This window comes from Homo sapiens, chromosome 3, assembly GCF_000001405.40.
Source record: "Homo sapiens chromosome 3, GRCh38.p14 Primary Assembly".
Taxonomy (NCBI): Eukaryota; Metazoa; Chordata; class Mammalia; order Primates; family Hominidae; genus Homo; species Homo sapiens.
Genome location: NC_000003.12, coordinates 165048897 through 165064361, shown reverse-complemented (window position 1 = coordinate 165064361; position 15465 = coordinate 165048897). Strand labels below are relative to the sequence as shown.

Sequence of the window (15465 nt, the reverse complement as noted above, 5' to 3'; positions counted from 1 at the left end):
CTGTCAGAGCTAATTTCCATACATCCTTTCCTTTAAAAATCCATATCTAATTAGTCAGGAAGTCTTTTTCCTTTCATCATATCAGTGTATTTCCAGTTTGTCTCTATCATGTCAGCTCTTCATCAGCTCTCAAGAAACAGACTACTAAATTTTTATTAAGGTACATATCATTTTGGAAGCTCCTGCAGTACCTTGGGCATACATGGGCCTAACTGATAAACATGCCATTACCTTATCATGACTAAGTTATTATTTTATTTATTTTTATTTTTTATTTTATTTATTTATTTTTGAGATGGAGTCTCACTTTGTCACCTAGGCTGGAGTGCAGTGAGGGTATCTCAAATCACTGCGACCTCCGCCTCTTGGGTTCAAGCGATTCTCCTGCCTGAGCCTCCTGAGTAGCTGGGATTACAGGTGCGTGTCACCACCCCCAGCTAATTTTTTGTATTTTTAGTAGAAACAGGGTTTCATCATGTTAGCCAGGATGGTTTCAATCTCCTATCTCGTGATCCACCCACCTGGGCATAAGTTATTAAAATTAATGTAATTAAAATGAAATAGGACAGTTAAGTAATATATTAATAGTATTATATATGTTATATATTTTATACATTACTATATTAATAATGTTAAAAAGTTTGAAGTTTTTTGTTTTACCTATAATATTTCACTGGTACATATAGTGAAGACAATTTGTGTAGAAACAGGAGAAGTAAATTATAGCAACAAATTAATTCATGAAGAGCATATAAAATATATAATCTTTTTGTGTTTTAAACATATTTGAAAATCGTATTTTCAAATTCTTGCCTTATAGAATAATAATAATTTATACGGCCATCAAACATTCTTTATGTGTATTGAAGATACATCTGGAAAGTCATTCGGTGTTTTTTTAATGAATAGCAATGCAATGGGTAAGAATAATTCATTTGATAATATATTTATAGATTTCACTTGAAATGTTTTAACTGCTCTCTTTATTTCAATCATTCATATTGTATGTGAGAGTAAACTCTATTATAGTTAATATTAACATGTGACATTATTATAAGAAGATTTTGAAATTAAAGACAAAATCAATTTTTGCATGCCAGCGCATCTATTTTGGGGAGAGTATGCTATGCTGTGGTATTCAGGCACTCTATTTTCCTTTCAAAGGAATGTTGAAACACATCCATGCCAATGGGTGTTTTCATTCCCACAATCTCATTTGTCGAGATAAGTAAACATGCCACTACAAATGAAAACAAAAAAGATGTCTATGGAAGTAGAAAAAAGAGTATTTTTTTTAGTTTATCATAACTCATATAATGTAGTATTTTATTTTGTAATATTATGAGTGTAGTATCTAATAGGTGAATTGGTGATAATAAAAAATTAAAGAAATTAATCACATTTCAGCAGGATCAGTTTATTACATGGTTTTCCAGCCAGTTACTGTGTCTTACATTTAGAAAAGTTAAATTAAAACTTTTGACATTTTGTCTTTTAGAAATTAATATGTGATAACTTGATCTTTCAGATAATCTTCAATTTAAACGACTAATTAAAAATGCAGTTTTAGAGAAAAATCTTTTGGTCGCCAGAGAACTAATCCTTTGCAACTAACCCTTTGCAACACAATATCCAGGGGAGCTTTTGCCACCACCTGTGAAAGAAAATAGCTGGGATATTTTATTATAAGCCTCAGACATGTTGGCGTTTTACTTTTTTCCTATGTTATTCCTGCATTCAATATTTCATTATTTCTTAATTATTTAAACATATTGTAAAATAATGTAGTTAATACAAATTAATTTAAATGGACTTTGCAATTAATTACTATAATCCTTTTCACTATTTACATATAAGTTTACCAATTTTATTTTGCAGAGATTTTTATCCAGCCTACTCCAATAGTAACATATAGAGTTACCGGTGGCATTCTGGATTTTTACATCCTTCTAGGAGATACACCAGAACAAGTAGTTCAACAGTATCAACAGGTGTGTTTCAGGTCTATTTTATAAAATTTTTTCTGCATACTTTTATTTCATCTAACATGACCACATATTTAGATGACTTTATTTTACATAGTAGGGGCCTCTTAGCTAAATGTTTTCGAAAATCTTATCATATTTAAGATGCAGCTGGGTGTTTTTTTTTTCCCCTATACAATGAACTCTACATATACTCAAGTATCTATGTTTCTGAATTCAAAATTTCTTACCTCTAGGCAGCTGAGTTCAAGAATTGGAATTCATTGAGATGTTGAATATTATATATTTACTTATTAATGACTTTATCTGATGGAATAAAGCAAAAGGAACTATCTTATTTAACACTGAGGATAGGCAATAAATGTGTAGGTCATATATCCTTTTGGTCAAAATCCTAGAGGTAACTGAGTTGTGAGAAGACCAATGAATCTAGCCATAAATTCACAGCAGGTAAACTCCAGGAAAATTGGCTCTTATCCTGGGGACTTCAGAAGGTTGAGTTTGAAACCTAGCCTGAAACTTTACATCTCCAGTTACTATCTAAGCAACTCTTATTTACATATTAAGTAACATCTTGTATACCTGAGCCCAATATGGGCTTTAGAGAGGTGGGGAACCCAGGACCTACACTGAAGATGATTCTAAAACTTTCATGTAATTTCTCTCTTTTCACTGTTGATATATATGATTCCTGGTGTTACAATGGAAAAGAAAATTATTTTCATTGGTTTAAGATTTTAAGATTATGCCTATTTTAAAAATATTATTTTCTTGATATACCTTTTGACATAAAATTCCCATTTGCAAAAATGATCTCAAAAGATAATTGATTACTATAAAAAATTTTAAATTAGGATCCAAAAAGCTGAAATGAGAGCAGCTAAGGTTTTTTGCAGTTTAATCATTTACAATGTCTAATCATTCCCAAGTTCATGTTTATAAATGTAAAATTTAGAAAAGAAGCGCAGAAAGTTTACAGTATCTGTAATATAAAATCATAATTACAGTTCTAGGCTGGCCTACATATAGACTTTGTGTGTGATTATCACATGAACAAGAGAGAGAAACAACACTCTGATATTCCAATTGTCAAACATAAGTTGGCATAGCTATCTCCCACATGTTAAGTAAAGTCAGCAGAATGTCAAACTATTTCAAAAAGAATATTGTTACATATATGTTGATTCTTCACATATATATGAGAAAAAATTTATGTCAACATATATGTTGATTCTTCACACATATATGAGAAGAAATTTCAATCACATGTCTAAATCTTTAATTCTATGGAACATATGGTGTTTAGGAGTATAGTTTAAAACATACTAATTCTTGAGAGCTTTATTTGATATCAGGTTTATTTGATATCAAGTTTGAAATAAGTTTAGTATTTCATTTGAATAGAAAACAATAACCCAACATGAGTAATTAATTTCTTTTTGATTGTTACCTAGTAACTTTTTACATATGTATCATGGAGAAATCATGGATCCTATATATATATATATTTTTTTTTAATATATATACCAGATATATATGTATATATATAATATATATATGATATGTATATAAAAGCCTAAACCAAAGAAAATTTATTATGTTGAGTATGATTATGCATCATATATAACCTAACTGGTGAAAAAAAAAACACCAGTTACATCCAAATTTCCATGTGCAAAATTATATCATCTGTTGTAATGTGACACTGATATTCTCTTGCACTGAGATTGCCTGGGCCATTACAGAAATAGGAAGAGATGGCGATCCATTTGTCCCCAGGAGGAAGAAATGAAGCTGAGGCACTGCATGTGAATAAGAAAGAGCCTATGCAATAACTGGGTGGGAGCATTGCAGAACATATATTTTATTAACATTTTTGCAAACCAGGAGATAGATAACTGCCAAAATGTAAGGAAACAGAAATTCTGTACTTTTAAACATCTTTTCTGTTTTTCTTGTATGGTGACTTGTAATAGAAAATAGGAGTGTGGTGGAAAATTTTCCCTTTTGTTATTTATTTGTTGCTTTTCTTGTATTATCTTATTTAACTTTCTACAATAGACAAAACATATCTTGGCAAAAGCTACTTTCTGATATGCTACACTTTCTAATTTTTAAACACAAACTAAAACGTGAAGTACAAGACATGAACTTGTTAAAAATTTCATAACACATTCAAATAGAATAGGAAATTGTTTAGAATCCAGGTAACACTAAAGGTTTGTTTAAATTATATAAACTTAAATGAATTTTAGAGATATAAGAAAATAAGAGGCACATTAACCTTGGTTATTAATGCTAAATATATTTATTTCTATTCAAACTAATTACATGCTCATTTACTTTAAGCTTGTTGGACTACCAGCAATGCCAGCATATTGGAATCTTGGATTCCAACTAAGTCGCTGGAATTATAAGTCACTAGATGTAGTGAAAGAAGTGGTAAGGAGAAACCGGGAAGCTGGCATACCATTTGTAAGTAGAATAAAGGGTCCGTGGGAATATATATCAAGTTAAATATTGTCACATAATAAGAACTGTAGGAAATTGTCAGGAGTATCTACTATATACATTATATCATATAATTAAGAGGCTGCCTTTTAATTGTAAAGTATATTTTATCTCATATGTAATGCCCTTGCCTCCTGAAAGTACAAATATATGCTTTTGAAGAATCAATTGTTAGTTATACTAGAACAGAATACATATTCCACTGTAAACAAAATCATATTTAGTTTTTAAAATAGACCTTAATTTTAGAATCTACATATTTTTAAAAAATTTTCTGAAAAGTGTATTTTTGATTTTTGTATGTTGAAATCCACGTATATAAAAACAATGCATTCTAGTCATTATCACTGACAAATATGAATAATCACTTAATGCTTTTGTACTTAATAATTAGAAAAACCAGTTTACAAACAGTACAATTGCTTCTTTAGTGAAATGAAAAGGATGGACGTTCATTTATTTTTTAAGGGTTATGTTTATAATACACGTTCAATGGAGTTAAAGATTGACTTGATTAGAGAGCTCTTTCAGTACTATGTATTGAAATACAATCTTCTAACTTTCAGGATACACAGGTCACTGATATTGACTACATGGAAGACAAGAAAGACTTTACTTATGATCAAGTTGCGTTTAACGGACTCCCTCAATTTGTGCAAGATTTGCATGACCATGGACAGAAATATGTCATCATCTTGGTAATAATCAATTATACCTTAATACATTTTTAGTGTTTACACGTGTAAGTTAATAGATTTTGCAGTTTCTGCTTTCTATTATTAGGACCCTGCAATTTCCATAGGTCGACGTGCCAATGGAACAACATATGCAACCTATGAGAGGGGAAACACACAACATGTGTGGATAAATGAGTCAGATGGAAGTACACCAATTATTGGAGAGGTAAAATATGATATTTATTAAAACTATGTTGCTCAAATTTTCTTCTCTGAAATAATAAAGTTTCTGTGGATGTGCGTGTGTGTGTGTGTGTGTGTGTGTGTGTATGTCTGCTTTCAAGTCTGAATTTTATATTTTAATTGTGGAGAAAAATATTAGACAAAGAAACTACTCCAAGAATTTATAAAACAGTTCTTATAAGAAGTCATGAAAAATGTAAAGATATACCAGATAAATTTCTTCATGGTTTAATCTTAGTAGATTGTATGTGTTTAAGAATTTATGCATTTCTTCTAGGTATTCCAATTTATTGGCATATAGCTGCTCATAGTAGCCTCTAAAAATTATTTACATTTCTGTGTTATCTGTTGTCATGTCTCCTTTTCAATCACTGATTTTGTTTATTTGGGCCTTGCTTTTTTTCTTAGTCTAGCTAAAGGTTAGTTGACTTTGTTTATATTTTCAAAAAACTTTTCATTTCGTTGCTGTTTTGTACTGTTTGTTTTTCAATTTCATGTATTTCTTCTCTGATCATTTTTTCTTTCCTTCTACTAATTTAGGGTTTGGTTTGCTCTTGCTTTTCTAGTTCTTTAAGACATATGATTAGGTTGTTTATTTAAAGTTTTTCAACTTTTTTGATGTAGGTACTTACTGCTATAATTTTTCCCCTTAGCACTTCTTTCATTTTATCCCATAGACTTTGGTACATTGTGTTTCCATTATCATTTGTTTTAAAAACATTTGTAAATTTTTTCCTAAATTTATTCATTGACCCAGTGGTCATTCAGGAGCATATTGTTCAATTTTCATGTTTTCATATAGCTTCCAAAGTTATTCTTGTTATTTATTTCTGATTTTATTCCATTGTGGTGTAAGAAAATAGTTGATATGATTTCAATTTTTTAAAAAAAAATATTTTAAGACTTGTTTTTTGGCCTGACATATGGTCTACCCTTGAGAATAATTCATGTGCTGAAAAAAAGAATGTCTGTAGCCATAGGATACAATATTCTGTAAAAATCTATCAGGTCCACTTAGTTTATAATAAAGATTAAAGACAATGTTTCTTTGTTGGTTTTCTGTCTGTCTGGATGATCTGTACAATGCTGTACAAAGAATTCTCTTTAGCATATCTTATAGGACTTGTCTGGTGTTGATGAAATCCCTCAGCTTTTGCTTGAGAAAGGCTATATTTCTTTTCCATGTTTGAAGGATATTTTCACTGGATGTAGTCTACTAAGATAAAAGTTTTTTTTTTTTTTTTCTCTACAGCATTTTAAATATGTCATGCCACTCTCTCCTGGCCTGTAAAGTTACACTGAAAAGTCTGTGCCAGATATATTGGAGCTCCTTTGTATGTTATTTGTCTCCTTTATCCTGCTGCTTTTTGCCTTCTTTCTTTATCCTTGACCTTTGGGAATTTAATTATTAAATGTCTTGAGGTAGTCTCTTTTGGGTTAAATCTGCTTGGTGTTCTATATCTTTCCTATACTTCAATATTGATATCTTTCTCTAAGTTTGGGATGTTTCCTGTCATTTTCCCTTTCAATATACTTTCTATCTCTCTCTCTCTACTTCCTCTTTAAGGCCAATAACTCAGATTTGCACTTTTGAGACTATTTTCTACATCTTGTAGCCATGCTTCATTGTTTTTTATTCTTTTTTTGTCTCCTCTGACTGTGTATTTTCAAATAGCTTGTCTTCAAGCTCACTAATTCTTTCTTCTGCTTGATCAATTCTACTATTAAAAGACTCTGATGCATTCTTCAGTATATCCATTGCAGTTTTCAGCTCAAGTTTCTGCTTGATTCTTTTAAATTATTTCAATCTTTTCATTAAATTTATCTGATAGAACCCTAAACTCCTCCACGTTATCCTGGATTTCACTGAATTTCCCCAAAACAGCTATTTCGAATTTTCTGTCTGAAAGTTCACACATCTCTGTCTTTCCAGGATTGGTCTCTGGTAACTTATTTAGTTCGTTTTGTGAATTCTGGTTTTCCTGGATGGTCTTGATTCTTGTGGATGTTTGTCACTGTCTGGGCACTGAAGAGTTAGGTATTTATAATAGTCTTCACAGTCTAGGCTTGTTTTTGCCCATCCTCATTCATAGGTTTTCCGGGTATTCTAAGGGACTTGGGTTTTGTGATCTAAGTCTTTGTTAACTGCAGCTGTATCTGCTTTAGGAGGCACCTCAAGCCCAATAATGCCATGGCTCTTGCAGACTCATAGCCTATGGCTAGCGCTGTTCTAAATGCTCCACCTATGGGTGTAAGCTGATTTCTGCCCCTTTGTACTTTCTGCTGTGGCAGGCCAATACTGAGCTCCAATGCAAAAGACCACAATCACTTTGCTCTCCCTTCAGAAAGTGCACAGATTCTCTCTCCATGCACCATGGGCACTGTTGGGGAATGTGAGAGGGGTGGTGTATGCAATCCAAGACTCTCTTTCCTACCCTCTTCAATGACTCTTCACTTGATATGATGCTAAAATCAGGTACTGTGATCACTCACCTGAATTTGGTTCTTAGGAAGGTACTTTCTTTGTGTATGGGTAGTTGTTCAATTTGATGCTTCTGCAGGGGGGGATGGTCACTGGAGGCTTCTTTTCAGCCATTTTGCTCTGTCTCTCTGCCATAAGCTTCATTCTTATCACATTCATCCAACTTAAAGTTTCCCGTGAAAGTCTTTTAAATAATTATGAACTCCTTTTGTAAAAAAAGAAAGCCCACACAATTTCCTACCCTTAATTAACATTTCACAGAACACATGTTAACACCAGCTTTGTTCCTTATGGACAGATCAGACAGCCGATTTGAAATGTTTGGATACAAAACAATATAATTTAGCTCAACTTATCTGAAATTAAATTCTCCTTGCCTAATGTGATTATTGTAAGTAATAAGTCAAATAATGTAAAATAATTTCAAGAAGCCTAAATCAGAAAAAGACAGCATAATACACATAGTGTTTAACAGCATGGACTCAGGTGTAAGACTGTTTGGGTTTAAATTGCTGCTGTACCTGTTATTAGTAGATTGACTTTGAACAACTTACTTAACTTCTCTGGGCATCACTTCTCTAATCTGCAAAATGACTTTAATTACAGTACCTACCTCATCTGTAAGTGGTGATAAAAATAGTACCTGCTTTCAAAAATTCTAATGAAGATTATATGTTAGTAATTATGAAAGTACTTGAAATAGTGCCCAGTATGTATCATATTCATGTTTATTCATACAAATAAACATAAAAGACAGTTTTTAAAATTGCTTGGAGGCATACACCTTTGGAAATAAGCTAATGTGCTTTATTTTATGGGATATAAAATATATTATATAGAATATTTATTGTGTATGTATTAAACTATCCTACAAGGATGCTTAAAAACAAATTTACAGTCAAAATAGCAGCCTTATACCATGTTCTGATAATTTTTTTCTTCCTAAATGCTTCATGATTTCACCTTTTTTTAACTGCTCTTCTTTAAATGCATTTTAAAGTCATGATATTCTTGTAAATTTATATATGAGTCACATATACCTAAAGAAGTAGAATAACTTTATTTTTTTTTACTATTCTCAACTTTATTAATTTGAAATTCCATTTATTTATTTTTCTATTTTTTATGTATATATGTGAATGATCTATTCTTCTAGGTATGGCCAGGATTAACAGTATACCCTGATTTCACTAACCCAAACTGCATTGATTGGTGGGCAAATGAATGCAGTATTTTCCATCAAGAAGTGCAATATGATGGACTTTGGATTGTAAGTAGCTATTTTAAACCAATGGTTTTGGTCAATGACCATAGACTTATTTATCTGTAAAAATTACTAAGTCAACAAAATATTTTTTTCTGATGTATTCAATGTAAAATTTAAAGCTACTATAATGTTTTTTCCCAGAATGGATAAATATACCCATCGTGTGCATAAGTAAGAAAACAAAACAAAACAAAAAATGCCAATCAAGGTTTTTCTTTTTTAGCAATACACTGTATAGAATAAATTTTATTTCTGTATGCAAGGTTTTGTTCCTTTATGACTAATACTTTACCTGAAAATTAGTTAATAAGATTTGGTGATAAGCCTATTGCAGTGCAATTAGCAAAACATTTATTAAAGTTGACAACAGTCAAGCAACAGCAGCAATATGATCTGAATAAGCCCCTGCCCTTTAGAGACTTCTCTTTAGTAAGCTATGGAAGAGAATAAATAAAAATTGGCAATAGGTTAAGTATTACTATATCTCAAAAAAGCAACAAACAGAATCCTAGTTTGCTCATAAACTTATTAAAGAAAAATACAGTCTTGTGTGATGGCTCATGCATGTAATCCCAGCACTTTGGGAGGCTGAGGTGAGCCAATCATTTGAGGTCAGGAGTTCGAGACCAGCCCGACCAACATGGTGAAACCCCGTCTCTACTAAAAATACAAAAATTAGTTGGGCTTGGTGGCACATGCCTGTAACTGAGGCAGAAGAATTGCTTGAACCCGGGAGGTGGAGGTTGCCTGTGAGCCAAGATGGTGCCACTGCATTCTAGCCTGGGCAACAAGAGTGAAACTCTGTCTCAGAAAAGAAAAAAAAATACAAGTGTTTAAGAGTTTCTTTAAATGAAGTTGTGTATCTGTAGTTATTGATGGCCTGCTGCTAGGGATAGAAACTAAATTACCACTGGCAAGAATTTGGAAAAAGTACATAATGGACACACTAAGGATGACTATATTTTCTTTGGTTTTTAGGTCCACACCATCTCTATTTTCCTTAAGTGCTCATTATTGATTCAATCATTATTCTAATTATTCACTTATTTATTAAATCAATCAATCATTTAGTTAGCAAATATTTATTTTGCACCATGTATCTATCAGACATGTTGTTGGGAATACAAAGATGGAAAGATTATGTTTCTGCTGACAACATGGATTTGGGTAAAGGATTAGCATAATCTTCAGGATTCCTATGATGACAGTAACAAAATGAAGATGAAAAGCCTTCAGTTATTTAACATAAAATCAGTGATATCACACCACTAATAACTAGCAATTGGTAGAAATAAAAAAAATTTACTGTGATCTTGAGCTTTATTTTTAATTCTAGTTCTTATATTATTTAACCTATATTGAAAGTTTCTTTAGTCTTTTATTTTTTTCTTAGTTAGGAGCCACTTTGATTACGGTAAAGTTACAAGTATAAATAATACTGTAGGAATAGTGAGACAGAGCCTGATTGTGTTATAGAAAGAGAGAGTGTTGCATTTCTTGCATTCATTGAGAACTGAAATTCCTGATTCACCTCCAAAGTGTGGGAGAGAAGGTTATCTGAGAAAGGCAGAGTATTTCCAACACTGCTACAGAAGCACTGTAACTAAGCCTTAAACAAACAAACAAAAAACACAAGAAGCAGTATAATTTCAAAGATCAGTGAACATCAGTGAACTAATATATATCATGGATAAACAGTGGATATTCTACTTTTAGCTATTACTTATCTACTTGCCATATCACACTGCTAAGTGGTTTATCTAATTATTTCACTTTCTTCAGATTATTGTTTCTGATCCAGCTAAAACAAGTTGTTATTCAACTGATAAAGTTTTAATATTTATGTCAAGTATAAAAATAGTTTTATAATTTACTAGATTTGTAATTTAGTTTCCATGCTAATATTTGTGAATTTTAGGTTTAAATATTAAAATCACTTTGGGAAATGATGTGAGCTTAATTGTCATTGAAGTATAGTTTTTGTGTATAAAATATAATAAATTTGAATTCTCTTTTTTTACATCATTTATGGGATAATCGAATAGTTGAGAAACAAAAGCCTACTGTACTTAATGTAATTAAGACCAAAACTATGATTTCAAAACAAAAGTGTTAGTCAATATTTTTAAAATTAAAATACCATTTCCATTTTTTGAATACATATGCATATTTTGATATCATTGTTGTTATTTTGGTTCTATTCTTAAAAATCTAATAAGCAAAATTATTCAATGAAAAAACTGAATAATTTAATATATAGTATTTGGAAACATAAATTTTATAAGAAGATATGCCCAAATAAGTTTACATATCCAAATAACTAGAAGCTTATTTGGTTATATTCTTTCTACATTTCATGTGAATCTTATAAAAATGAAATTCTTTTACAAATTCTTTTAAAAATAGGGCTATATATATTTAGATTTAGTTTAAATGTGAGTATAAAATGCCATCAGATCACTATCACAATTTTTAAGGAATTTTAAAGAAACTTGAGGTACATTCTCAGAAACAAAGTTGACGATTTTTTTTTGTTTTTTGAGACTAAGTCTTGCTCTGTCACCCAGGCTGTAGTGCTGTGGCGCTAACTTGGCTCACTGCAACCTCCGCCACCCAGGTTCAAAAGATTCTCCCTGCCTCAGCCTCCCGAGGAGCTGGGATTACAGGTGCACTTCACCACGCCCAGCTAATTTTTGTATTTTTAGTAGAGACGGGGTTTTGCCATGTTGGCCAGGCTGGTCTGGAACTCCTGGACTCAAATGATCCACCCGCCTTGGCCTCAAAAAATAGTTTTTAATAGACTTAAGATGATTTGAATGACACCTACATATCTTTAGATGTTTTTATTACTATCAGTCCACTGAGGCTTTTGCCTCATGACTACAATGTTCCAAATCTACTAGTTGTAATATTAAAAATCTTAATTTAATGCAGTGGTATATGACATTAAATAACTGTAGTTTCACTTAAATCATTTGGATAAATTAGAGAATTAAAATGCTTTTATAATTTTCAAAATGCCACTTAAAAACACTACAATAGATAAATTCTTTTAAAATATGGGTAGTAAGTTTAATTTAATACAATCTTGCTATATAGACATACTTTAGACATATTTAAGGAAGGTTACTAAAATATTAAATGTCATGTATTATGTAAAATATGGTTAAAATTATGAAAAAAAATTTTGCCTCAGTAGGTTAATAATTTATATTCTTGGTTCAAAAAACTATTTTCCCTTTTATTGTGAGCTGGCAAAATAATCACATTCTGATTCAATCATGTTGAAATGGTCATACAATAAAACTTTTAAATATTTTTAAAATTATTTTCAGTAAAACCAATTAATTATTTTCTAAAAAAAATTTTCATCCTTAAATTACATAATAATGTTTACTTTCATTGATGAAAGATTTTGTGAAATTTATGGCAAATTTACACATATTTAACTCAAATAGAAATGATATTAATATCATAGATGAGTGTTTTACCCTTGCAATTCCTCAACTATATTATATATTCGGATGTTAAAATTGTTTAGAAAAAGACTCTTTTAAAATTTAAAATAATGCAGCTCACTATTCCCAAATTATACATTTCAGCAGCAGTTTTTTAAAAATTTAATGTTATTGGCGGAATCATGAAGAAAAATGTAGTTTACCTACACTTATTTGCTGTGTAACTATGGTATACCATTATTAATTTCTACTGGACACAGGAAACAAAATTGAATATAACATTCCAGACAATTTCAAAAAAATAACTCAATGTAGCTTTAGATATTTTTGTACTTTGGAATAACTATATTAATTTCTCTCATTTCTGCTTACTCTGAAAACATTTGGGAAGTGGAAATATATACCGATTAAACGTGTCATGATAACAAATCTATTCTTTTTTCCCTTGAGCACCATTAATTTATCATTTCAATTCCATGTATCAAATTTCCTTAGCTTCTTTTTATATCCATAGTTAGAAACTTTTATGAGAATATTTTGAGAATAATAGAGATGAATAATCATATTGAGTGTGCTTGGGTCAGAGGAACTCAATATTTATGGAAGCTTTTGCAAACTAAATAAGTATGTCTAGTTATAGTTATAATTTTATGAAACAAATGACTACAATACAAATGATTCACCATTACATGTGTTTAAAAAATTATTTTATTAGTGTCTTTGAGTGACACCATCGGTCTCAGATATTTTCTAATCTGTTAATAAATATTATCTGGGAAGTCTCAGAAAGTAGTATGAAAGATAGGTTTAATGATTGCAAAGTTAATATAGGAGTGTTAAGGTTAAAGGGAGGATTGAAAGCTGAAATAAGAGGGGAAGGATTCAAGAAGCTGAAAAGCAGTGAGTCTTAAAATATGGGCATGATGTGGATGGGGAAAAGGAAATGTAATTAAGAAAATCTACTTTTTCTGAGAGAAATAAAAGTAACACAGACAAGGATGTGACTGAATGTGATGTCTTTATGTGAAAGGAGACTATTATAGAGATGAGAAAAATAAGGCTTATAGAAGTCCTCAACACAGTTTGCAGAGAAGAAAGATGAAATGCATATTTCTTGAGTATATGTACTGTGATATATGATTTTATAAAATTTATCTTTTTTAGTGCAAAGACTTAACTGGGTTATGGTCACATAGCTAGCAGGCAGTGGGACAAGATTGGGGCCTATGTTAAAATGGCTAGAAAATCCATGAACATAATATCCCACCACTATTTCTTCAAGAGATGTTTAGGTCTTGGTTCTCAGAGTGTGATCATGCTCACCTGGGGTTCTCTGAATGTTTCAGAGATTCTGTGAAGCCATAACTATTTTAATTAAAATACTAAAGGCTATTTGCCTTTTTACAGCTTTCATTCTTTTATGAGTGTATAGGAGCTGTTGGTAGGCAAATTTTGCTGCTAGCAATGTGCTTAGCACATCATAGAAACTAGGTAAGTTTAAATGAAACCAAACATATTGAATCAATGAATATGCAAGGAATGTGTATATTAATGGACTCATAATGAGAAGACTAACAGCTATTTAGAAATGACTTAATACTTATAATTAATGTAATTATATATAATCAAAACTAGACACATGAACTACATTTTGATTGTTTAAAATCTCTCTATCCCATCTAAGATACTTATCTGATATAGACATTCTGTTTATTTTTAGGTTGGTAGCTTATATTTATCTTCTAGGAATTAACGAGCATTATGGTTATCTTATATAAAACATTTTCAAACAACTAGAGAGTTTCTGCTAATAGGATTTATAATTATGTAAAATCTGCTGTTCTTCATTTTGTATCCATTCAGGACATGAATGAAGTTTCCAGCTTTATTCAAGGTTCAACAAAAGGATGTAATGTAAACAAATTGAATTATCCACCGTTTACTCCTGGTAAAATTTATTTGGTTATCTAATTACTGTTTTAATTGAGAATAATTTTGTAGTTGACTAGTAATTTCTAACATATATTTCTAAATTACAATTTTTGGTATAGTTCTAAAACCATAAAATCAATTTGTTTATCTTTTCTTCAGACAAATATTTTCTGCCTAGGATTATATTTAAATAGACAAATCTAGTATAAGGCTTTAAAATTGGTCCATAAATATATGATGTACAATATAGTTTGGTATAGGTATATTTCTATATTGTTAAAGGTTATTTTTAAAGTTAAATTATTTGTTATCGAAGTTAGGAAACAGAGTATTTGCCAATGTAAATATAAATCTAATAGTTAATCCAAGTTTAGCAAGAGTGAAAGATGAGGACCTAATTGGAACTTATTTTAGGTTTAATTGGATTGTCCTTTGTCATTGTTTTTAACCAAATATGGAATTTCATAACACAAATGAAAAGGAATATGACATTTATGATGGAAAATATATAACTTTTATAATGGAAAAATATAAGAAATGTTTCTTATGTATTTTCTCAAAGATATTCTTGACAAACTCATGTATTCCAAAACAATTTGCATGGATGCTGTGCAGAACTGGGGTAAACAGTATGATGTTCATAGCCTCTATGGATACAGCATGGCTATAGCCACAGAGCAGTAAGTGCAATTTCATTCAAAGACTTCTTTCATATTTATTGCTTAAAAATGTTTTTGATAATTTATCAATGTATTCATAATTAGGAAATAGCAAAGTTGAAAAAAGAAAGATAATATTTTATGCCTGCTAAAAAGTTATGGCATTCAAAATATCAGTTCTCTTACTAATATTCATGAATTTGGGACTCATTTATTAAGAATGACATGGTAGGCTGGGTGCAGTGGCTCAC

The 15465-nt window shown here is 30.7% G+C and overlaps 1 protein-coding gene across 4 annotated transcripts in view; it reads left to right on the top strand.

Moving 5' to 3' along the window:
- The window catches only part of SI (sucrase-isomaltase), a 111335-nt gene that overhangs the window by 25871 nt on the left and 69999 nt on the right, over positions 1-15465 (top strand). For all 4 annotated transcript variants that reach the window (XM_047448735.1, XM_047448736.1, NM_001041.4 and 1 more), the window contains 8 exons: positions 821-920; positions 1879-1991; positions 4335-4460; positions 5063-5194; positions 5280-5399; positions 9055-9168; positions 14487-14571; positions 15118-15235. In XM_047448735.1, the coding sequence (XP_047304691.1) occupies positions 821-920; positions 1879-1991; positions 4335-4460; positions 5063-5194; positions 5280-5399; positions 9055-9168; positions 14487-14571; positions 15118-15235 (908 nt within the window). The remainder of the gene's footprint in view (positions 1-820; positions 921-1878; positions 1992-4334; positions 4461-5062; positions 5195-5279; positions 5400-9054; positions 9169-14486; positions 14572-15117; positions 15236-15465) is intronic.